At 44.2% G+C, this 26,001-nt stretch overlaps 1 non-coding gene across 1 annotated transcript, besides 3 other annotated features; it reads left to right on the top strand.

The window, feature by feature from the left end:
* Positions 350-900: an enhancer, noted in NCBI's record as "H3K4me1 hESC enhancer chr14:101617861-101618411 (GRCh37/hg19 assembly coordinates)". NCBI's record gives its function as "activates a minimal SCP1, AML or CMV promoter by ChIP-STARR-seq in naive H9 embryonic stem cells {active_cell/tissue: H9 hESC(naive)}" and the evidence as "EXISTENCE:reporter gene assay evidence [ECO:0000049][PMID:30033119]".
* Positions 901-1,451: an enhancer, noted in NCBI's record as "H3K4me1 hESC enhancer chr14:101617310-101617860 (GRCh37/hg19 assembly coordinates)". NCBI's record gives its function as "activates a minimal SCP1, AML or CMV promoter by ChIP-STARR-seq in naive H9 embryonic stem cells {active_cell/tissue: H9 hESC(naive)}" and the evidence as "EXISTENCE:reporter gene assay evidence [ECO:0000049][PMID:30033119]".
* On the top strand, positions 6,729-6,944 carry LOC124903435 (small nucleolar RNA U3). Its single transcript, XR_007064413.1, has one exon. It is a non-coding gene; the product is annotated as a small nucleolar RNA U3 (small nucleolar RNA).
* Positions 17,923-18,424: an enhancer, noted in NCBI's record as "H3K4me1 hESC enhancer chr14:101600337-101600838 (GRCh37/hg19 assembly coordinates)". NCBI's record gives its function as "activates a minimal SCP1, AML or CMV promoter by ChIP-STARR-seq in naive H9 embryonic stem cells {active_cell/tissue: H9 hESC(naive)}" and the evidence as "EXISTENCE:reporter gene assay evidence [ECO:0000049][PMID:30033119]".

Raw genomic sequence — 26,001 nt, 5'->3', positions numbered from 1 at the left:
CAGACTTTCACTTCCACGGAGATGTCTGCAAATGGCACCTGTGAGTTCCATCACCCGGCCTAAAGACTCCTCCTTTTCCCATTGAGGACATCCAAGCCATTTTGAAACCCAGTTCCAGAGACCACACCTTGATGACAGCACGTTCATAACTAAACCCCGTTTCTCCCTGCCTTGGGGTCCATCCCAAGACCCGCTCCTCTCTCCCTCCAGCAGTGAGACCATGGAGGGGGAGCCTTGAGAAAACCAGGGTCACTTCAGCTCGGAAGGACTTGGCCCTGCGCGCCGCCACTGGCACCGACCTACGAAAATAGCTGCACTGGCCGAGTTTTGCTTTGCTGACGAGCTTTGCTGAGCGGCGAGAACTCGCCAAAGCAGATTTCCAGTTTCCAACTGGCTTTCAGGAAAAAAAGAAAAAAAAGGCGGGGCGGGGGAGATGATTTTCTTTTGGGCTGGCAAAGACACCAGCCGTGTTCATGCCGGCTGGTGGCAACCTATTCAGGGGCCACAACTTCCGCGGTCATTTATTTGCCGCTTCTTTGAAAGCCCACCTCCCTGGCAGTCTCGGCGAAGCCTTGAATCTCACGGCTCCGCTCCCTCTGGAAGGCGTGGAGAGGCCCAAGCCGGGAGGGCTGTCCGGGCACAGGCTCTTGCTCCATCCCCACTGCCCCTGGTGATGGACGCCATGGGAAATGGTGAGCAAGGCAGGGAGGTGGAGGGAGGTGGGGAGGAGGAGGGGGAGCTACGGGAGGGAGTGGGCACTGGGAGGGAGGCTGAGACCCCCGAGTGGGAGCGCGACCCCGGCTTCTTGTCCCTCAGCCCGGAGTCCAGGGAAGCAAGCCCTGGAGTGTTCAGGCAAGAGCCCACGCCCTGGCCTCACCCGGCGAGGTGGGTGGCGCTGCCATGACTCACTCTGCCCCACCCCGGCCCAATCTGGCCTCCCCTCCATCAGAATCCCTTGCCAAAGACTCAAAGGAAGCAGCGTGGTCAGTCCCGAGTCCTCCCCACGCCCGGCCTCAGGTGATACACAGTGGGTGTCAGGTTGCTGTTAGGCTGAAATCCTTCCCTGCCCCTGCCTTCCTACTGCCTGCTCTTCCCCTTTCCTTATGTGAAGAAAGGTGAGCATTTGCAGCCCAGGCTGTCAGGAATCCCAGGCCTGCCGCGGCCTCCCTGAGCTCCTGGGGCAATTCCATGTCTACAGTTCTTCAGTTCCACAGTGGTGTCAAAGCCCATGGTTCATGGGGACACAGTCCTTTCCACTGGCAGAGACCAACTGGGACTGCCAGGTGGAGGTGCTGCAGTCAGCCATGGGGGCAGGAAAGGGAAGGTAAGCAGAGAATGGGGGTGAATGGCAAGGGAGGAGGAGAATTAAAGTCAATCTCCCTCAGTCGCTGGTATAACTCCTTACAATGGAGACAGAGAGGGAGAGGCACAGAGAGAAAGAAGGGACAGAGGGAGGATAACTCCCTACAACAGAGACAGAGAGGGAGAGGCACAGAGAGAGAAGGAAGGGAGGGAGAGAGGAGGGAAGGAAGGGAAGGGGAGGGGAGGGGAGAAGAGGGGAGGGGGAAGGAAGGGAGGGAGGGAGGGAGGGAAGGAAGGAAGGAAGAAAGGAGAGGAAGGAGAGGAAGGAAAGGAGGGGAGGGAGGGACAGCAGGCCGTATCTTTGGTGCAGGGATTATTTCCATTTTATAATCTTGAGGCTCAGCCATGCAACCAGAAACTCTCCAATGATTCCAGACTTATTGTGACCCAATTTAACTCTAGGTCAGATGCTGGGCAGGAGACCCTGGACTTGGAGTGTCACAGACAGAAGGCAACTTGGAGGGCAACCGGGTCAGCCCACCCACTCCCCTCAGGGAGACTGAGGCCCCAGACAGAGGGGAAGTGACTTGTCCAAGACCACACCAGTGCTGAGCTTTCTTTCTGCATAGACCCTGCTCCCTCTGGAGTTTGTGCCTCAGTGTGCAGTTCTGTGACCTGACTGGATTGGTCCAGATGACTCAAAGTTCCTCCAAGCTGAGACATCTGCTTTTGTTCATGGCTTATTCCTGAGAACCCCTGGAAAAGGCAGCTGCAGCTGGAGCTGGCCCCCGCCCCTCCCAGGCACTCCAAGGCCAAGGGTCCTTTCCCTCCTGACGCAGGAGTCACCCGTGGGGACAGAGGGGGGGATCAGCCCACCTGCAGCCCACACCTGCAGCGGAGGGCAGGAGAAGGCAGTGGTTCCCCTGGGAACGGCTCACCTGCAGGGGCCTGGGAGGGTCTTGTGAGCTCCTTGGATCCAGGTGGGAGCAGCCTCCATGCAGAGCTCAGACAATATCTTCCCTGGGGAAGTTTAGACAACCAGGCTGGTGAGCAAACTTCCTAGATTTGATTAAAAGAAGCCTGACGCTTTCAGGTTCTGCTGCTGACAGCCGAGAGCAGACTTGCCTCCTGCTCAGCAAGGTGGGGGCCACTGAGGCATCTTTTCTTTTAAAAAAGAAAAAACAAGAATACCATGGTGATAGTGAGGATGTGGAGCAATTGAGATACCCTTTTTCTTTTTTGCTGCTTGGAATGCAAAATGTTACAACTGCTTTGAAAACAGGTTTGCAATTGCAGTTTCTTATTGCTTTAAACACACACTTACCCCGCAACCCAGCAAATCCTCTTTCAAGATATTTACCCAGAGGAAGTGAAAAGAAGTTATGTTCACACAAACACTTATGTGTATAAGTTTGCGGTGGTTTTATTCATAATCACCAAAAATTAGAAATAACACAAATTTTATTTAACCGATGAAATGCATAAACAGACTGAAGTATATCCATAAAATGGACTTGTACTGGAAAATATAAACAAACTACGGATATGTGGAACGTGGTGAAACTCAAAAGTGTTATGCTAAAAATGACATAACTAGGAAATTCCGTAAACCCCCTCTCCCCCAAAAGCAACAGAAATACTTGCAAAACAATAAAATTCGACCATTTTTGAATTCTGGAAATTAACTACACGCGAGAACAAACTGAAAAACACCAATTACCAATTACTGAACCTTGGTAATACCAGTGGGTCTGTGGTGTATTTAACTTGGGGCTATTCTCATACTCTCTCACCCTCCAGCTCAGAGGTGCAGTGGTGGTGAAAAGCCAACATTCTCGCAGCCAAAAGAGGATTGACTGCTTTAAAGCTCTGTAGCTGGAAGAGAGGATATTGCGTGTTCTCAACACAGAGAAATGATAAATGTTTGAGATGATGGATATCCTAATTACCATGATCTGATCATTAACATGGCATATATTGAAACATCATTATCCATTTTATATATATATATATACACAATCACTATGTGTCAATTAAAAGTAATTTTTATTTTGTCAGGCACAGTGGTTCATGCCTGCAATCCCAGCACTTCAGGAGACTGAGGCAGGAAGATCGCTTGAGCCCAGGAGTTTGGAACCAGCCCTGGCAACATAGCAAGATCCTGTCTCTACAAAAAAATTTTTAAGAATTAGCTAGGCATGGTGATATGCACCTGTGATCCCACAGGTGATATGCACCTGTGAGGTGGGATGATCACTTGAGCCCAGGAGTTCGAGGCTGCAGTGAGCCATGATCGGACCACTGCACTCCAGCCTGGGCAACAGAGTGAGACCCTGCCTCAAAAAAAAAATTTTTTTAAAGGGCCTATACTCAGAGAAAGTCAGTAGTTTAGCCCAACCAGAAGCTGCCTAGAATATCTCTATTCCTATGATGTTGTTGCTATTTGACTTGTCTGTGAACTCAGCTCTGCAAATAAAACTTCATGCCCATGGCACTACTGAAAACGGTAAGAATCTGCTGGTAACATTGCTGCTGCCTAAGGCTATGATTTCAGTTGGGGCTAACAAGAGCCTGGCCGAAAAATGAAAAGGAAGACATATAGAACTAAAAAGCCATGGGGAACTTGAAGAGTTCTGTATTTCTGCCTGTGCAGGGCTATATACACGTCCAAGAAAGACCTGGGGAAGGAGGAGGCCCTGTCGCTCACTGCTGACCTTGAGGCCCTAAACAAGCAGGAAGTGGAAACTACAGAGGGTTTTTAAACTGCTTGAAGTTTGAAAGTATGTACATTCCCACACAGATAACTTTGGCAAAGGATGGAGAACCGATGCTCAAGGCAGTTAAGAAAATCTGATCGATCACTTGCTGAGCAATAAATTGTATTGACAAAAGACTGAACCCCAGGAGACCAGGCTTAAAGATATAAACAAACTGATCAAAAGGTGGGGAACAAGGAATTTAGTGGCTGCATAGTACAGGAAACAGAGTTATGCCAGGAAAGCCACTAAACAAACAGGCAGCAAAAATAAAAACAAAAGCAAGCAAAAAGAGAAAAGAAAGACCCAGCAAGAACAATTCCTGGAAGAGGAGAAACTAACGACAGATTGTTACAATGTGTTATCTAAAATGTCCAGTTTCCAACAAACAATTATGACATATGCAATAAAATGGGAACATATAGCCCATTCAAAGGAAAAAGACCAACCAACAGAAAATGCCCCTAAAGGCACCTAGATGTTAGATTTGGGAGACAAAGAATTTAAATAAATACGTAAATTTGGGAGCTTAAAAGTACAACACCTAAAATAAAAAATTCACTAGAGAGCTCAAGAATGAATTTGAACTCAAGTAAGAAAGAATCAGAGGCCAAACATTTTTAAAGAATGAATACCAATTCTTCACAATCTCTTCTAAGAAGTAGAAGAGGAGGAAACACTTCCCAAATTATGAATATTCTGAGGCAAGTATTACCCTGATACCAAAACAAAAGAAAGACACCGCAAGAAGAGAAAACTACAGACCAGTATCTCTTATTACTATGCATGCAAAATCCTCAACAAAATAGTGGCAAATCATATCCAGCAATGTATAAAAATAATTCTACACCATGACCAAGTGAGATTTATCCCAGGAATACAAAGTTGGTTTAACACACAAAAATCAATTAATACAACACTCTATATCAATAGAATTAAAAAACAAAAACTCCATGATCATCTCTATGCAGACAAACTACACGACAAAACCCAATAAACATTATGATGAAAACACACAATAAACTAGGAATATAAGATAATTTTCTCTGAAACTGACAAAGGGCATCTTAGAAAAACTCACAGCTACATCATATTTCATGGTGAAAGACTGGATTCTTTCTCTATAAGATCAAGACCAAGACAAGAATGTCTGCTCTCCTCATTTCTATTCAGCATCGTATTGGGGTTTCCAACCAGAGCAATTAGCAAGGAAAGAAAACTAAAGACATTTAGATTGGGAAAAAAAAGGTAAAAGTATCTCTATTTGCATATGTCATGATCTTGTATATATATATATAGATTATGAATAACCCACTTTAAAAAACTATTAGAACTTATAAACAAATTCAGTAAGGTTTTAGGATATAAGACCAATACATAAAAATTACTTGCATTTCTATACACTTGCAACAGACAGACTAAAAATGAAATTAAGAAAATAATTGTATTTACAAAAGCATAATAAAAATGAAATAGGAATAAGTTTAACAAAAGAATTGCAAAGCTTATACTCTGAAAACCACAAAACATTGTTGGAAGAAATTAATACAGCTCTAAATATATGGGAAAATATCCCATGTTCCTGTATTGAAAGACTTAATTTTGTTAAGATGGCAATACTTCCCAAATGGATCTATGAGTTCAACACAATCCCTGTCAGAATCTCAGCTTTTTTTTGTAGAAACTGACAAGCTAGTTCTAAAATTCATATGCAATTCAAGGTATTCAAAATAGCAAAAATAATCTTTAAAAAGAAAACCAAAGTAGAAAGACTCACACTTCCTGACTTCAAAACCTACTACAAAGCAAGAATAATTACTATAGTACAGTACTGGAAGAAGGGTAGATAAATAGATTAATGGAATAGAATTGAGAGTACAGAAATAAACCCACATTTCTAGGGTAAACTGATTTTTGACAAGAATCCAAGTCCACCCACTGGAGAAAGAATGGTCTTTTGACAAATGGTGCTAAGACAACTAGAGATCCACACACAAAAATAATGAAATTGGACCCTTACCTCACACTGTATTCAAAAGTTAACTCAAAATGGATCAAATTTCTAAATGTGAAAACTGGAACTACAGAATTCTAGAAGGAAACAGAAGGGGTAAAATCTTCATAATCTTTGATTTGGCAATGGATCTTAGATATAACATCAAAAGCACAAGCAACCAAAGTAAAACCAGACATATCAGACTTCATCAAAATTAATTTTTTTTGTTTGTTTGTTTTTCCAAAGGACACTATTAAGGAAGAGAAAAGACAACACACAGAATGGTAGAAAATATTTGCAAATCATATACCTGATAAAAATTTGTAATAGCCAAAAGGTGGAAGCAATCCAAATGCCCACCAACTAATGAATGGATAAACAAAATGTGGTATATCCATATAATGGAATATTATTTGGCCATAAAAAGAAATTAAGTATTGATATATGCTATGATATGGGTAAACCTTGAAAAAAGTATGCTAAGTAAAGAAAGCCAGTCACAAGAGGCCACAAATTATATAATTCCATTTATATGAAATGTCCACAATTGGAAAATTTATAGAGACAGATAGTACATTAGTAGTTGCTTAGGCCTGGGAGGAAGAGCATATGGAAAGTAGGAGGATGATAGTTAAAGAATACAAGTTTCTTTCTGAAGTAATAAAAATGTTCTGAAGACTATACTTTCAGGGATCATTTCTATAGTTCATTACTAGAGAAGTTTCTCTGAATGTGTAGAGCACCAGAAACTATGAGGAGGAGGCACAGAGTTCTCTCCTGAGCATGAAGCTGGCACTTGGTGTTGCTTTGCTGCAGCTGCCACTTACCATTGGTGATTGTTCTTGTCTTCCTCTTGGAGAGTAAGAGAAAGAGAATGCAGTCTGAGAGGTTCTTGTTTTCACCAAAAAAAAAAAAATTCTGAACTTTATTGTGGTGCTGGTTGCACTTATTTGTAAATATATTAAAGACCACTGAACCTGAACTTTTTTAATGGATCCATTTTATATTATATGAAATATATCTCAATAAAACTTTTTTTTTAAAGAAGATGGATGTAGATGTGTGGCATTATTTCTGAGGCCTCTGTTCTGTTCCATTGGTCTATATATCCATTTTGGTACCAGTACCATGCTGTTTTGGTTACTGTAGCCTTATTGTATAGTTTGAAGTCAGGTAGCGTGATGCCTCCAGCTTTGTTCTTTTTGCTTAGGATTGTCTTGGCTATATGGGCTCTGTTTTGGTTCCATATGAAATTTAAAGTAGTTTTTTTCTAATTATGTGAAGAAAGCCAATGGTAGTTTGATGGGGATAGCATTGAATCTATAAATTACTTTGGGCAGTATGGCCGTTTTCACCATATTGATTTTTTCTATCCATGAGCATAGAATGTTCTTCCATTGGTGTCCTCTCATTTCATTGAGCAGTATTTTGTAGTTCTCTTTGAAGAGGTCCTTCACATCACTTGTAAGTGGTATTCCTAGGTATTTTATTCTCTTTGTAGCAATTGTGAATGGTAGTTCACTTATGATTTGGTTCTCTATTATTGGTGTATAGGAATGTTTGTGATTTTTGCACATTGATTTTGTATCCTGAGACTTTGCTGAAGTTGCTTATCAGCTTGAGATTTGGGGCTGAGACGATGGGGTTTTCTAAATATACAATCACGTCATCTGCAGAGACAATTTGACTTCCTCTCTTCCTATTTGAATACCCTTTATTTCTTTCTCTTGCCTGAATCCCTTGGCCAGAACTTCCAATACTATGTTGAATAGGAGTGGTGAGAGAGGCCATCCTTGTCTTGTGCTGGTTTTCAAAGGGAATGCTTCCAGCTTTTGCCCATTCAGTATGATATTGGCTGTGAGTTTGTCATAAATAGCTCTTATTTTGAGATATGTTCCATGAGTACCTAGTTTATTGAAAGTTTTTAGCATGAAGGGGTGTTGAATTTTATCGAAGGCCTTTTCTGCATCTATTGAGATAAACATGTGGTTTTTGTCATTGGTTCTGTTTATGTGATGGATTACGTTTATTGATTTGCATATGCTGAACCACGTTTGCATCCCAGGGATGAAGCTGACTTGATCATGGTGATCATGGTGGATAAGCTTTTTGATGTGCTGCTGGATCGGTTTGCCAGTATTTTATTGAGGATTTTTGCATTGATGTTCATCAGGGATACCGGCCTGAAATTTTCTTTTTTTGTTGTGTCTCTGCCAGCTTTTGGTATCAGAATGATGCTGGCCTAATAAAATGACTTAGGGCGGAGTCTCTCTTTTTCTATTGTTTTGAACAGTTTCAGAAGGAATGGCATCAGCTCCTCTTTGTACCTCTGGTAGAATTTGGCTGTGAGTCCGTCTGGTCTTGGGCTTTCTTTGGTTGGTAGGCTATTAATTACTGCCTCAATTTCAGAACTTGTTATTGGTCTATTGAGGGATTCAACTTTGTCCTAGTTTAGTCTTGGGAGGGTGTATGTGTCCAGGAATTTATTTTATTTTATTCTTTAGATTTGCTAATTTATTTGCATAGAGGTGTTTATAGTATTCTCTGATGGTAGTTCGTATTTCTGTGGGATCAGTGGTGATCTCCCCTTTATCAACCATCTGATCTTTGACAAACCTGACAAAAACAAGCAATGGGGAAAGGATTCCCTATTTAATAAATGGTGTTGGAAAACTGGCTAGCCATATGCAAAAAACTGAAACTGGATCCCTTCCTTACTCCTTATACAAAAATTAACTCAAGATGGATTAAAGACTTAAACGTAAGACATAAAACCATAAAAACCCTAGAAGAAAACCTAGGCAATACAGTTCAGGACATAGGCATGGGCAAAGACTTCATGACTAAAACACCAAAAGCAATGGCAACAAAAGCTAAAATTGACAAATATGATCTAATTAAACTAAAAAGCTTCTGCACAGCAAAAGAAACCACCATCAGAGTGAACAGGCAACCTACAGAATGGGAGAAAATATTTGCAATCTATCCATCTGACAAAGGGCTAATATCCAGAAACTACAAAGAACTTAAACAAATTTACAAGGAAAAACCAAACAACTCCATCAAAAAGTGGGTGAAGGATATGAACAGACACTTCTCAAAAGAAGACATTTATGAGGCCAACAAACATATGAAAAAAATGTCATCATCACTGGTCATTAGAGAAATACAAATCAAAACCACAATGAGATCCCATCTCACACCAGTTAGAATGGAGATCATTAAAAAGTCAGGAAACAACAGATGCTGGAGAGGATGTGGAGAAATAGAAACACTTTTATACTGTTGGTGGGAGTGTAAATTAGTTCAACCATTGTGGAAGGCAGTGTGGCAATTCCTCAAGGATCTAGAACCAGAAATACCATTTGACCCAGAAATCCCATTACTGGGTATATACCCAAAGGATTATAAATCATTCTACTATAAAGACACATGCACACGTATGTTTATTGCAGCACTGTTCACAATAGCAAAGACTTGGATCCAACCCAAATGCCCATCAATGATAGACTGGATAAAGAAAATGTGGCACATAGACACCATGGAATACTATGCAGCCATAAAAAAGAATGAGTTCATGTCCTTTGCAGGGACATGGATGAAGCTGGAAACCATCATTCTCAGCAAACTAACACAGGAAAAGAAAACCAAACACCACATGTTCTCACCCATAAGAGGGAGCTGAACAATGAGAACACATGGACACAGGAAGGGGAATGTCACACACCAAGGCCTGTTGGGGGGCGGGGTGCTAGGGGAGAGATAGCATTAGGAGAAATACCTAATGTAGATGATGGGTTGATGGGTTCAGCAAACCCCCATGGCACATGTATACCTATGTAACAAACCTGCACATTCTGCACATGTATCCCAGAACTTAAAGTATAATAAAAAATAATATAATAAAATTAAAAGGATGGAATGATCAACTGTTTTGAATGTTACTCAGATAAAAACTCCCTCTCCCTCTCTCTCTCTCTCTCTCTCTCTCTCTCTCTCTCTCAGTGGTGGCAGAGAGAGAGACAGAGTAAGGAAATTGGTAAACTTAAAAATAGACCAATAGAGATCATTGAGTATAGGGAACAAAAGTAAAAGAATGAAGATAAAATGGACAGAGTCTCAGATATCTGTAAAAATCATCACATGTACTAACATATGCATAATGGGAGCCCCCAAATGAAAAAGAGAATGAGGCAGAAAATGATTGAAGAAATAATGACTAAAAGGTTCCCAAGTTGGATGAAAAGCATTAATAAAAACATCCAAGAGGCTTGACAAAATCTCAGTAGATTAAACTCAGAGATCCACACCTAAACACATTATAGTCAAACTGATAAAAGTCAAAGACAAAAAGAACGTATTGAAAGTAGCAAGAGAAAACTACTTACAAGGAACAATGGTTTTCAAATAAGACTAATTGCTGACTTCTCCTCAGAAACTGTGGGGCCAGAAAAAAATAACATAACATCTGAAAGCGTTAATAGCAAAGACTGTCAGCCAATAGTTTTATAGCCAGCAAAACTATCCTTAAAATAAAGAAAAAACAAACATATTTTCAGATAAACAAAAACTGAAAAAAACCTATTGCCATAATATCAGCCATACAAAAAATACTATAGAAATTCTTCATGCTGAAAAGAAAGGGCATTAAATAGTAACTCAAATCTACATAAAGAGACAAAGAGCACTGGTAAATATAACTATATAGGTAAATCCAAAAAAACAATATGAATGTATCTTTGTTATTTTTTTCTCCTCTCTAATTTAAAAGAAAACTTTACAAACCAATAATTATAAATCGATGTTGATGAGAAAACAATGTATATGGTTGTATTTTGTATGACAATAACAGCATAAAAGAGTGGAGAAGACATAGAGCTAGAGGGAAACAAAGATTTTGTGTAGTAGTAAAATTAACTTTGTACTAATCTGGAGTAAATTGTTATAAATAGAGATAATAATTGTAATCTCCATGCAACCATGAAAATAACTCAAAAATACATAGTAAAAGAAATGGAAAAGTTTTAAAATGGTACACTAGAAAATATCCATTTAAAACATAATAAGTCAGTAATGGTGGAAAATAAGAACAAAAAGGGAATAAGACATAGAAAATAGACAGCAAAATGATGAACAAATCCTACCTTATCAATAATGACATGATCTGTGCTGGAAACCCCATGGTACATGATTACCTATGTAACAAACCTGCACGTCCTGCACATGTACCCTGAACTTAAAAAAAATTTGAAGAAAATAATAATAATAATAATGACATGAAATATCATACCAATTGGATTAAAACTCCAATTAAAATGCAAGGATTGGCAGAATGAATAAAAAATATGATCCAACTATATGCAATCTATAACAGACATAATGTAGATTCAAAGACACAAACAGGTAGAAAATATTGATAAATGGAAACAGATGTACCATGAAAATATAAAAAGAGTTAGAGTGGCTATATTAATACCAGACAAAATGCATTTTAAGACAAAAAGTTACTAGAAACAGAGATGACATTTTATAATGATGAAAGTGTCAATCCATCAAGAGGATATAGCAATCGCAAACATGTATGCACCTAACAACATAGTCCTAAGAGACATAAAGACAAAACTCAGAATTAAAGATAAAAGTAGGCAATTCAACTAAAATAGCTAGAGATGTCAATACCTTACTTTCACTAATATATGGAGCAGTTAGACAAAATAAGGAAAAAGAAGACTTGAACAACACCACGAGCCAACTAAACCTAACAGAAATGTATAGAACATTTCACTCAACAACAGCAGAATATGTATTCTTCTCAAGAGCACACTGGACATTCCTCCAGGATAGACCACGTTAGGCCATAAAATCAGTCTCAATAAATTTAAAAGGACTGAGATCAGCAAAGTATGTTCTCTGACCACATGGGATGAAATTAGAAGTCAAAGACAGAAGGAAATTTGGGAAATTTACAGATATGTGGAATTAAACAACACACTCCTACATAACAATGGATCAAAGGGTAAATTGCAAGGGAAATTAGAAGGTATGTTGATAGGAATGAAAACAGAAACGCAAGATACCAAAACTGTGGTATGTAGGGAAGTCATGCTCAAAGGAAAATTTATGCCTACATTAAAAAAAGAAGAAAAATTTCAAATCCACAGCCTAAACCTCCACACTAAAAAACTAGAAAAAACAATGCAAACCAAACCCAAACCAGTATAAGGAGAGAAAGTGGAAAGTGGAAATTAACAAAAAATAATAGAAAAACAATAGAAAAGATTAAAAAACAAAAGCTGGTTCTTTGAAAAGATTGACAAACTTATTGTAGACTGACTAAGAGCAAAAGAGAAAATACAAATTACTAAAATCAGGAGAAAGGGGACATTACTACCAGTCTTATAGAAATAAAATGTATTATAAGAGACTCTTGTGGCCAAGAAATTAGATAATCTAAATTAAATTATTTTCTGTAAATCACAAATGACCAAAACTGAAGGAATAGAAAATCTGAATTATATTAATACCTATAACAAGTGAAGAGATTTCGTTAGTAATCTGGAAAATTCCCACAAAGAAAAGTCAACGTCCAGCTGGTCTCATTGGTGAACTCTAACAAATGTTTGGAGAAGAGTTAACACTAGTCCAAAGCAAACCAAAAAAGTGAAGATGTGAGAACACTTTCCAACTCATTCTATGCAGTCAGTATTGTCCTGATACCAAATCACACAAAGACATCACAAGAAAAGGAAATCAATATTCCTTGTAAATATAGATGCAAAACTCCTCAACAAAATACTAGCAAACTGAATCCAGTAGCATATAAATAAAAATAACTGTACACCATGACCAAGTGGGATTTCTTCCAGGAAAGGCTGGTTAACCAAAAATAAATTAATAAAATATATATCAATAGAAGAAAGGATAAAAATTATACAGTCATCTCAATAGATGCTGAAAAAGCATATAAAAAAATCCAATACTTATTCATGATTAAAAAGAAAAAACTGCCAGTAAAATTGGAATAGAAAGGAACTTTCCCAAGTTAATGAAGAGTATCTAGGAAAAATCTATAGCAAAGATGAAACTTAGTGGTGAAAAACTGTATGCTTTCCTCCTAAGAACAAGTAACGGACAAGAATGTCTGCTTTCATCACTTCTACCCAATATTTTCTTGGAGGTTCTAGCCAGAAAAATGTAGTAAGAAAAGAAATAAAAGATGTCCAAATTGCAAAGGAAGAGGTAAAATTATCTCTGTTTGCAGATAACATGGTCTTTTGCATCTACAAAGAATCCTATTAGAACCAATAGGAACTAAAAGAACTAAAAGAATCCACAAAAATATCCTATTAGAACTAATAAACAAATTCAGCAAAGTTACAGAGTTAACATACAAAAGTCAGTTTTATTTCTATACACTAGCAATAAGTAATCTGAAATAAAAATAAAAATCTGATGATAACTTTCACGTTATCATCAAAAACATAAAATACTTCAGAGTAAATTTAACAAAGAGGTACTAGGCTCATAGACTGAAAATGACAAAACAGTGCTTATGGAAATTAAAGAACTATTTAAATGGAGATATGTTCCATGTTCATGAATTGGAGGACTCAACATTGTTAAGATGACAATTCTCCCCAAATTGATCTACAGTTTTAACGGAATCCTTATCACAATTCCAGAAATTTTTTTTTCTCCAGAAACTGAGAAGCCGATCTTAAAAATTATATGGAAATTCAAAAGACTCAGAATGACCACAGCAATCTTTGTTTGCTTTTTTTGGTTGTTGTTGTTTTTGTTTTTGTTTTGAGATGGAGTTTCTCTCTTTTGCCCAGGCTGGAATACAATGGTGTGATCATGGCTCACTACAACCTCTGCCTCCCGGGTTCGAGTAATTCTCCTGCCTTGGCCTCCCAAGTAGCTGGGATTACAGGCATATGCCACCATGCCCAGCTAATTTTTGTATTTTTAGTAGAGATGGAGTTTTGCCATGTTGGCCAGGCTGGTTTTGAACTCCTGACCTCAAGTGATCCACCCACCTCGGCCTCCCAAAGTGCTGGGATTACAGGCATGAGCCACTGTGCCTGGCGGCCCACAGCAATCTTAAGTAAGAACAGAGTTAGAGGATACTGTATTAGTCAGCTAGGGCTGCCCAAACAAAATATCACTGACTAGGTCACTTAAAACAACAGAACTCTGTTCTCCCACAGTTTTGGAGACCAGAAGTCTGGAATTAGGTGTCAGCAGGGCTGCACTCCTATGAGGAGTTCAGTTGAGATTTTGTCTCTGTTCCATTCCAGCTTCTGGGCTTCTGGTGGCTCTTGGCATTCCTTGGCTGTGGCCACATCGCCCTACTCTCTGCCTGCAGCCTGGCGTGCTCTTCTCCTCTATTCTCTCCTCTGTACATCTCTCATAGGAACATTTGTTATTCGATTTAGAGCCCACTCTGACAATCCAGCACCATCTCATCTTAAAATACTTCACTTAATTGCATCTGCAAAGACCCTTTCTCCAAATAAGATTGAATTCACAGTTTCCAGGGATTAGGATGTAGACATATCTTCTTGGAGGCCACCATTCTATTATAGAGGGTGTTCACATCCCAACTTCACAACTTACTATTAAGCTGCACTTATCAAGGCAATAAGACACTGTCACAAAGATAGACATATAGATCAACAGAACAGAATTTGAGAGTCCAGATATAAATCCTTATATTTATGGTCAATTGATTTTTAACAAAAATGCTAAGGCAATTCATTGCCAAAACCTTTCCAACAAATGGTGCTGAGATAACCGGATATCCGTGCAAAGAGATGTTCTTGGGCCCTTACCTCACACCACACACATACACTGCTCCTGTTAGCAGCTTGATGCCAGGCTCGTTCTGAAAGTCTGAGGTCTTCTCTGTTGTCCTGATCTAGTCTCAGTCTGGGGCAGGTTCTCCGCACCAGGTTTCAGGGGCGGGTCGTTGCCTGCCTTCCTACCCTGATAACTTGGCCTTGTGTCTGTGGTTGGTCTTGTCGGGGAGTTCCCTGCACCTCCCTAGCAGTTGCAGCTTCTGTTTAGCATCAGGGCCAGATCCAGCAGGGCCCAAGGTGCATTTCCACTTTACTCCCAAGGCAAAGTGTTTTTTCTTGTGCCCTTCTCTCCAGAAACAATGGGCTTTTGCCTGTGCCCTGGGGTTGCAGATTTCACTACCCCTCCACCAGCAGCGTAAAGCTTTTACTTCTTAAGACTGAAGGGTCTGGGGACATGGGCAGTCATTAACGCGCATGCCAAATTAGGGAAGCTGTCAGTTATCAATCAGTTATCAATCAAGTCCAGGTCATTTGGGGCCAACTGTTACAGAAGCCAGGGTTTAGATCATCGCTAAAGATGGCCACGTGGCCTCCTGCAAGTCTAACTCACCGTAGGTTTGCTTCCTGAGTTGTTGTTGTAGATTTGTGTTAGTTTCCTGGGCAGGTTGTAGGTCAGAGTTCTGTTTTCATCTATGGCCCAGCCATCTTCGGTTTATATATTAAATCTCTCATGGCCATGTTGTCAGGTCTATGATCTCCAGCAGGACAGGATAAAGTCTTTAGGACACTGAGCTCCTTCAGGATGAGGCCATGTTTTAGGGCAAGTGCATGGCTTAAGGCCATGGGCTCCCTCAGGACAGGGTGATGGTTTTCACACTGTAGTTGCTCTCAGGAGAGGGCTATCACAACTGTGAAGTTGGGAGCTGCCCCAGAACAAGGCCAAATAGACTGGGGCCTTGGGGCCATGAGCTCCCACAGACAGGGCCCTGGCTTCAAGCTCTGGGCAAACTCCGGACAGGATCGGGGCTGTGAGCTCCTTTTGGACTCGTAACTCTCTCAGGACAGGGGCCAGGCCTTTGGCACAGTGAGCTCCCCAGGGACACAAGCCCAGTCCTGTGTCCCCAGCACGAAGCAAATCTTGGCACCAGCTGCCTACAGCAGTGGCTTTGCCTGATTCTCGAAGGTTTGCGGCAAAGAAGGGGCTGGCTGTGCAGGTGGGGGCTGGGAGGGGGCTGTCCTGGAAGGCTGGTGAGTGGCCAGAAAGTGAGCAGAAGCAGAGGTTCCAATATCACTCCACAATCTCTTCCCAAATCTGAAATCAGGAACATGTGGCTCAAATCTCCTGTTTAGGTTCCAGTGCTTAGCACTTGGCAAGGATTTATGTAAATCCTATACCTTCCAAATAAACCCGCCTGCAGGCTGAGGCTGGGAAGGGTCTTTTTCCCTGAGGGGCCGGGACCATGAGTGCACAGAAAGTGGCTTCTCTTGGCCTGCTCATCACCACTTGGGCCTTTTGCCTCAACCCCTGCCAGAAGCTGCCCGACAGTTGCCTGTCACTCTGTCATCCAGACATGCCTGGTGGCACTAGCCAGGGCATACATGCAGGAGACACAGATTGCCTGGGCATGGACCAGACCTGGCCCCCAAAGTCCCCACCTGGATCTCCCATCAGCCCCCAATTCAGTCACACTGACTTATGCTCCAGCTGAACTCGCCACCCCTTTGCATGTGCAGGTCCTTCTTCTAATGGGGCTGTCTGTCCCCTCTTAGCCCCTGGTACGAGGCCTCCCGAAATCCCCAGCCCCAGAAAGAGCCACATGTGTGAGTTCATCGAGCACAGTCATCATCACTTTTCTTCTCACAGAGTGAGCGGCCCTCCTGTAAGTGTTTGCAGCATCTTGTCATCAGAGAACCTCTCTGAACCTCTGTTTTGTCTTCTGTGGAAGGAAGTCATCATGGCGTCTACCAAAAATACGGGACTGGGGTAAGGCAAGTGAAGCACTTATTGGAGGCCCAACCTTTAGTTTGGTGGGAGGGGGCATGCGCAGAAAAACTCAGTAATTGAGATAAATAATATTTTAGCACAATCTATTTAAATATCAAAATTAATGCAAAGATATCCCCGATAAATGAAAGATCAAAATTGTAAATAGAGAAACTCAGTAATTGAGATAAATAATATTTTAGCACAATCTATGTAAAAATCAAAATTAACTCAAAGATATCCACGATAAACAAAAGATCAAAATTGTGACTCAAGGCAGGAAAGACGATTCATATTTCTGCGGTTTCCTTTGGCTTCAGGAAACTGTTCAGTAACTGTGAAATAAAGGACCTTAGATTGAAGGACTCTTTTCAAAGTTATCTTAGCAAACCTCCTTGTTGAACGTGAGGGAAACAACGGCTGAGGGGTGGGGCTTTACTCCAAGTCAGTGACAGGGCTGGAGCAGGGTGCAGGGTCCTGGGCTTACCCAGGGCTCTCTCTGGGGTCTGCACCTAGACCGCCTTACCTCCGAGGGAAACCCTGCAAACCTCAGCCACGGGCCCCGCCAATTGTTCCTGGCAGCGCTGATCAAGGGAGGCCGGCCCTGTCTCCAGGTGTCCGTGCGAACTGACCTCTTCTGCAAAGTGACCAAAGTCCCCTCCCACTGTAAGAATCCAGCCCCTTCCTTTCCCCATTCTGCTCCATTTCCCTCTGGCTATTCAGTTCCAACCTAATTTATGTTGTTTGTTTATTCTAGTTGGTTCTATCCATTCCTTTCTACCTCCTAGTCTAGCCCGCTCTGTTTTATCAACTTTGGCTTATTTTGTGCATTTATTCCATCCTGTTTTATAGTTTCCATTCTAGTGTATATGTTCCATTCCTTTCTATTTTATTTATTTTATCCATTCCATCCTTTTGGGTCCACCCCACCTCACTGTGCTCCTGCACGCAGCCCCGCTGAAGGGCCCCAGTGTTTATTTAGAAGGGCACGGTGGAAACATCCATGTCTGCAAGCCTGCCTCCCAGGGGCCGCCTGCCGCCTTTCCGGCAAATGCCCACATGAGCTCATGCTTTGTGGTTGGGGCTTTAAAAAAAAAAAAGTCAACAAATTTGAAGGGAAAGCAAGGCCTGTCTTTCATCTGATAGCTCCCAGATCCGTTTCTGATCAGCCTCCCATCATCAGAGGTGTCTGCAAAATTTCAGCTGCAAACATTCACCTCCATGTTTGCCTCCGCACCCGCTGCCAGCTGTCTGGGCACCCGCTGCCTTGGGGCTGCACTGCAGACGGGGTTGGGAGGGACCTTGGGGCTTCATCCCATCTTGATGCTTCCTCAAGAAGAACGTTCTTGTTGGGGTGGCAGCCTGAGCTTCTCTCTTAACTGCCTTGTGCCTTCCACGCTTCCAGAATTGTCATAAAACTAGGAAGACACACACGTATGCATGCAAAAACGCACAATATCTCAACTTCCACTTCCCTGGCCCAGCGCCCTCAGCGCCAGGCTCTGTCACAGAGATGAGGGCGCCCATCAGGCATTAAGTGAAACCTAGTGTTTGGTGCTTTCTTTTTCCTTTGTTGTTGCAAAACGAAAATGTTTCTCTTGGAAATCAATGGTAATGGTCTGTATTCTAGACCTTTGTCTTTGCATTGACATGTATAGGTGGATATTTTGCCAAAAAAAAGTTGTTTAGTATTGTTCTGCCATGATTTGGTTTCACTCCTGGACATATTGTCATGTTGGCACATATAGATGTATCACATTTTTACTGGCTGCATAATATTTCGTTGTATGAAGTATTGTTTTGTTTCGTGATTTCTCTGCTGAAGAATTTTTATTTTTGCTTTTACAAATAAAGTTGCAGCAAACATTCTTGTTCATGGGTCTTTGCATACACATTTGTGTGATTATTCTTATTGAGTGGATTCTTAGAAATACTATTGTTTGGTAAAGGAATATCCATATTTTAAAATATCTTAGGTGTACAAATTGCCCTTCAATTTGTCCTTCGAATTAGTCTTCTTTACGTGAGCAAGAGTGATCTTTGTAAAATGAATTTGGTCATGCAATTTCCCAACATTAAAAACAAACAAGAAAAAACTCTCTGGAATTGTGGCTGACTTTGTGCCCTGGAGAAACTGGGCTGTTGGACCAGGTTGCAAATGTCAGATACCTACAGGTATCAAGGGACTGTCCAGGTGCGGTGACTCGGTTTTATCAGAAATGAAAGCTCCTTTCCTCTGCCCCAAGTTCACCTCCCAAGCCCGTCTGAAACCAGCTGGTCAGATACAGGTTCCAGAGACTTTGAGATGGGGCCCCCTGGGGCTGTGGCTGAGGCCGGACCAGGCAGGCCTGGACCGAAGCCCTCAAAGATGACACCAGTGGGCTGGAGACTCGAAGACTGTGTCTCTTCCCTCCTTGGAGCTTTGGCGTCCTTTCCTATACAGCGAGGGGAAAGCACCTACCCTGGATGGTTTTCACTGAATGAGAAAGAATGATGAGCTTGTTTTGTAAATGTCAGAGGGTGATCTGATTGCACATCCTTCTTATGGAGCACAGAAAATACGATCATTCTTATGGTATAAAATAACGATTTGATCCATTCATTCCACATTGCTGTGTAGTTTCCATTCTGGTGCACACATCCCCTTTCCTTCTGTTTGATCTATGTATCTATTCCATCCCATTGGGTCCACACCTTCTCCCTTTCATGGGTGACAGCCCCAGAATTCCGAGGACAGGGTGTGGGGGCCCCTCGGCCCCTTGGGTGGGCTTTCGAGGCACGGTGCCTGGAGAGAACATCTGGCTGAGCAGGTGGGTGGGGGGCTGCCCTGTGGAGAGACACAGGCCAAGTCTGTCTCCAGGGAGGTGAGAGGGCAGAGGTGCCTAGCGGTCATGGGTCAATCCCTGCCCGCCTGTGCCATCTCCACCAGACCCACTATGCTGGGAGCTAGGGAGACTCTGCCCAGGGGATCCTAGTTTCGCCCAGATGGTGGTTTCTGGGCTCACGCTACAAAGCAGGCAGAGCCATCACAGGCACAGCTAGGAGACCTCCAGCTGGAAGCCATCACCCATCCTTCAGACAGGAAGTCTGAGGTTCTGGGACCCCTCCCAGACCCTGCACAGACCTGCAGTGAGGATTGGGGTTTCCCACCCCAGGCCTTGACTCCATCTACAGAGGTCCCATGTGGGCCTCAAATGCCTGTCTTACGTTCAACAGAAGATGCCAGCCAGGATGCAGGGACCCCCCCCTGAGCCTGGCAAGCAGCCACGGGAGGGCTGAATCACAGTTACGCAGCCTTGGGCCCTGGTGCAGGGTCTGGTCCAGAACAGAGGTTCCGTGAACAAGGTGACTCCCTGACTTGCTGCCCTCTCGGGCATGCAGCAGGCAGTAAACGCTGGGCTTGGTGTGGACCAGCGCATCTTGGGGAGAGTGGGGCATGGGGAGTCGTGGGGTGTCCTGACCCTGCAGCACCTGCCCTGCCCCAGGAAGCCTGTCTCCTTGTGGCTCAGAAAGATCGTGCTGCCTACGTACCTGGAGCTTTGGACACAGGAGCTCCCGGGGACAGCGGCCGGGCCTGTGACTGGCCATCCTTGCCACACATTATTAACAGAACAGCCCCTGCAGGGGCTAGAAATTGGTTGAGCCTCCTGGTGGGAAGATCCAATTTTCACCTAAGCAGAAGTAGGAGGAGGGAGGAGGAGATGCTACTTCCTGAGGGGCCCAGCACTGCCCTCTTATCTCTGCTATGCCCAGAAGGTATCGGCTACCCATCTCCCAGCCCGACTGAGCAGACAGATGCTGGCCGACACAGCTGGCCCTGAGGTTCCTGGGGGCACACACCATGAGCTCTGTGGATCTCGGTTTCCTTGTCTGAAAATGCAGGAGCTGCATGAACCTCTGAGTTCTGAAATCTGGCTTGAAGCACCCCCAGCCAGCTCTGAACTGAGTATATCAGCCACTCGGCAAAACGCCTGGGGCACCTGCTCTGTCCCAGGTGCTGGGGCTCTGATCCGAGGCCAACCTGGAGGGGTTGAGTCTCACAGGAGTGATAGCTCTGACAGATAAGGGATTCACAGGGCAGGGGACAGGGACAGAATGCAGGCTGCAGTGGGAGCTCTGACAAGGGGCATCTGGCTCAGGCCAGAGGCTGTCACTTATTCATTCAACAAACATTTATTGAATGTCTTCTACGCACCAAGATTTCTAGGCAAGCAGCAACAATGGACAAGGTCCTTAGCTTCCAGGAGCTGACATTCTAGTGGGTGGGAGGCAAGAGAGGAGCAAGCAAATGAACATGTCAGGTAACACCAGGCCACAATCATGCTGTAACAAAGACAAAACAGGGACTGGGTGAGTGGGTGTGGCTATGGCTGGTGGGGACAGGGCTCCTCTAGATAGGGGGTCAGGAGGAGGGGCTCGCTGAGGAGGAGACAGCTGGGTAGAGCCCAACATGGCTGCCCCAGCCAGGGGCCATGCTTTGGAGTCAGGGCTGGCAGGACCCACAGGACCTACTGGCGGTAGGGACGGAGCTGGCCAGGAGGCTCCTGGGCTCTGGTCTGAGCATGGGGGTGGATGGAACTGCTGGCGGCCACAGCCAGAAAGCTGGGGAGCAGCAGGCACGTGGAGGGGGTCTCTGTTTTTGTCCTCTCAAGTCTGGAACATGATGGTTTGGGAATTTGGAGGTTTGGTCCTCCTCCCCTCCAGTGTGTGGGCTGGACGTGGGGACTGGAATCCAGCAAATTGCAGCCCCTGCGTTGGATACTCAGCACCAACCGGGCTGTCTTCCACCCAGCTCTCGGGGGCCATGTGGGGTCTCTTTCCCTGTCTCTGTCTCTCTCTCTCATTCTCACTCTCTCTCATTCTCTCTCTGTCATTCTCTCTCATTCTCTCTCTCTCATTCTCACTCTCTCTCATTCTCTCTGTCATTCTCTCTCATTCTCTCTCTCTCATTCTCTCTCATTCTTTCTTTCTCATTCTCTCTCTCTCATTCTCTCTCTCTCATTCTCTCTCTCTGTCATTCTCTCATTCTCTCTCTCTGTCATTCTCTCATTCTCTCTCTCTCATTCTCTCATTCTCTCTCTCTCATTCTCTCTCTCTGCCATTCTCTCTCTCATTCTCTCTGTCATTCTCTCTCTCTGTCATTCTCTCATTCTCTCTGTCATTCTCTCTCCCATTCTCTCTCTCTGTCATTCTCTCTCTGTCATTCTCTCTCTGTCATTCTCTCTCTCTGTCATTCTCTCTCTCTCATTCTCTCTCTCTCATTCTCTCTCTCTGTCATTCTCTCTCTGTCATTCTCTCTCTCTGTCATTCTCTCTCTCTCATTCTCTCTCTCTCATTCTCTCTCTCATTCTCTCTGTCATTCTCTCTCTCTCTGTCATTCTCTCTCTGTCATTCTCTCTCTCTCTCTCTGTCATTCTCTCTCTCATTCTCTCCCTGCCACCTCCTCCCTTGTCTCTTTCTCCTCCTGAGTGGAAGGAAGGAGGGATGGACGGATGGCAGACAAGCATCTCCTCTGCAGAATCTGCCCCTCCTGGGGCCTCAGTTTGCCCATCTGGAAAACGTCAAAGTGGACCTGATGTTCTCCTTTGAGCTGTTGTTTTCTGTGGGTTTTATTGCTTTTGATGCTTTTGAGCTCAGTCAGCAAATTGTTCCCTGTTTTCTTTCTATTTTGAGAAGGCTTCTTTCCCTGGTGAATGCAATTTTCAAGTCTCTCTTCCATCATACTTTTTTTTAATGATATAGTCTTTCAAAGTGGCCTTCTATTTTTACTTTTCCTTTGGCAAGATAATTTCTAGCCCTTTTCTCACCACCCAACTCAATTTCCTTTGTTAATTTCCAAGCCTCTTCTTTCCACAGGGGCCTCACCTCTTAGTACTTAATTGATTTCTTCTATCACGTAATTCCACGGTTTCATCAATAAGCAATTTTAGACCCATTGTCAATTTCTATTTTTTATACCATTTCATCTGCTCAGAGGCCGAGAACATGGATTAGACACAAGATGAGATTTCATTATCTCTTAGACGCCAGTTTTCCCCCCTGGCCCCATTCACTGAAGCAAGAATGTCTTCTGGACTTTGCTATATTCCCTTCTAATTAATTACTCTCCTTTTTATTCACTTCCCTCAATTCTGTGAGTTTAAAGTGTAAATTAACACGTGTATCCTGCTTCAAATGTCATTTTAATGTTAGGGGACTTTGCGCATACGCGATCCCCGTGACCCTGCGGCCTCCTGTAGACACGGACAGTACCTGCAGTGGAACTCTTTTTGGGTTCAGTGGGGTTTTTCCTGTGCCCGGCTCTGCCGACGTCCTCTGCCTGCTTGAATGCCCTCTCTAGCTGCTGCTTCCTGCCACGCACACAGGCTGGGGGGAGGCAGAGAGCAACAGGAGCCCAAGGGGGCCAGCCAACCTCGATGGGCCGAGCAGAGCCCAGGAGCTATGTCTCCACTCGGCAAACACGAGCCCCGCAGGAGCCCCTTGCTTTTTGCAGATGGGTTTTGACACGGCCAAGACTCTGCAGACCGTTAGACTTTTTACCACCTTGAGGAGAAACCTGTCAAAAACATTCCAGACTGTGTTCAGCCATTGAGCGGGTATCGACCGCCTCCGCCTTTGCCTCTCTGGAGAGGGATTAGTTACCATCTGAGCCGAGTGAACCGCACATGGAGCTTGACGCCCCTGCACCCTGCCCCGGATCCTACCTGCCGGGAATCTCCGGGTGCGTGGGAACTGTCTTTCCTAAGATCATGATTTCTACCGCAGGTGGGATGGGAGGTGCTCTGCCTCTTCCATGTCTGTTCCTGAGCGACGGCACGCCAGGCAGAGGCTGAAGCCCCGTGATGGCCAGAACACCCACCATCCACCGCTCCTCTCAGGGCCCTGCAGCTGCCTCTCCCATCTAGATGTGGGCACGGTCACCCTCAGTGGGGCCAGGCATGAAAGCAGCTTCCTTGTTTCCACTCTTCTGTGAGAACAGCCACCAGGAGGCTGTGTTGAAAGTCAGCCATATCCCCAAGTGTGCCTATCTGCACCACGAAGAGGTTGGGGGGCACATAGCTGTGAGATCATGGCTGCCACTTCTTTGGGAGGTCTCTCAGGGGAAAACAGCCATCTGGCTTCCGTATCAAAAAGAGCCACATGCCTCCTGACCCACTAGTGTGGCGTATCTAGTTGTCCTTTCACTCCTGTAGACTGATCATGCTTCTTTTTTCACCATGGCTACTAGGAAGCTCAGTAAATAGGATTTCAAGGCAGGAACTTTGTGAGCTTCAGATCTGACTCCACTTGCTGCTGTTGTCCATGCCTTCCTTCCTCATCTACTCATTTTATTCTCCTGTAACTCATTCATTCATTCCCTTACCGAGCACCCTGTCTTACCAGACACTGGGCAAGGGGCTAGGATCACAGCAACACCCAAGTGCAAAGGCGCTCAGGGAGATGATAATCTAGCATCATTGAAAAGCAGCAAGTCAAAGTACAAGATCCAAAGTGCTGGGATGAGACTTAAACAGGAACATGGGATAAGTAACTGGCTTGGGCAAGGACTGCTCTATAATAGTGGTGATCTGTGGACAGTGAAGAAGAGCGCTCTGAGGAGACGACATTTTAGCTGAGAATTGATTACTGTGAAGGAGCTAGATGTGGTGGTTGAGGTGGCAGAGCCTCATGCCTGGAAAGGGCCATGAATGTTCTGGAAATAACAAGGAGGTTTGTATGGCTGGAGCCAGCAAGAGGAGGCAGGAAGGAGATGAGGACAGAGACATCATCAGCAGGGACCTTGCAGGCTTTGCCACCACTTGTGCATCTTAGGTCGCCTTGAGCACACCTTTCCTGAAATCCTTCTCTGAAATAAGTATAAGAATGAACAAATTTATATACAAATGTATGCTTATCTACATGCAACAACTCTGTGCCTTTTGATCTTTCATCAGCAGTTTGTCTAACATGGTTGTACAGTGTGTGTGTGCATGCACAGAAAACGGCAGCATCTCCATGCCTCAGTATTTGCCTTAGGGAACACGAACCCCAGCAATACCTGCCTGGGGTTGTTGTGGGCATTAAATGAGTTAACACTGACAGCGGGCTGACGGCCTGTGGAAGGGCTCCCTATGTGTCAGCTCTCGTTACCAGTGTGTGTACATCTGACATGTGGGACTGGTTAGGGAGGGCGTGAGTCTGGACATGGTTACTGACACGATTAGTTACATAAGATCCGACGGTGAATGTTCCTGTGGACATCTGGCAGGACATATATAATCTAATAAACATCCGTAACCTCTTTAGAGCTTGGGAAGTGTTTCCCCAGCTCTTCTCTCATTTGATTGGAGAATGACCTCAGCTTACGAGAAACTCCTCGCTGTCTAGGGCCATGGTTAGGATGAGTTTTTCCCCCACTGTGGGGTTTGCTGAGGGTCCACACCCAGCAGTCATAGGAGGTGACCCAGCGTGTCCAAGGACTGGGGCCCAGGCCTGAGGGCTGGGGGTGTGTGGCTGTTGGCTGAGCAGGGCTGCAGGGGCTGAGATCACTGTCTCCAGGGTCTCGTTTGGGGGTCGTGGCAGAGTGGCGGAGAGCTGAAAAGTACAGAACTGAGCAGAGGTAGGGGCCCCGGGGCAAGGGGGCCTTGGCTGGTGTAATGAAGGACTTCCTGTCACCTGGGGTTCTTCTCCCAGAAGTGGACAGGGCAGGCAGCCTTGCCAAAGGGTGAGCTCCCCATCCCAGAACCTGCAGCCAGGTTGTGATGTCTCAGTGCCCTGGCCTTGAAGGAGGGGCTATGGGGGCTATGAGCCCAGGCCAGGGGCTCCATGCATACTGTCCTACAAGCCCCTTTCTTTGGGGCTTCTGTTTCCTGGTCCGAGAAATGAGGAGGGCACGAGAAGCTCCCAGGTCCTCTTCATTCTCTGATGCCCAAATTCCACAGAACAACAAGGCTCTCTCAAGCCCGTAGTGGTCAAGGAATAGTTTGGAACATTGGTGGCCAGCCTGCCTCATCTCGTCAAACTGAGAACCAAGGGGTCCTGAGAACACATAGCTTTGGCTGTCTCTGCACCACGCGCGGGAGCAAGAGGGCTCGGAGACCGGCCCGCAAGGATCACGAGTGGCCTTCGCTTTCCAGAGCAGAAATCCCAGGGCTCAGGGCCAAGCTGGAAACCGAGGAGGCC

Source organism: Homo sapiens, chromosome 14 (assembly GCF_000001405.40).
Source record: "Homo sapiens chromosome 14, GRCh38.p14 Primary Assembly".
Classification (NCBI taxonomy): domain Eukaryota; kingdom Metazoa; phylum Chordata; class Mammalia; order Primates; family Hominidae; genus Homo; species Homo sapiens.
The sequence above is the reverse complement of the archived record's forward strand: the minus strand, read 5'-3'. Positions and strand labels throughout refer to the sequence as shown.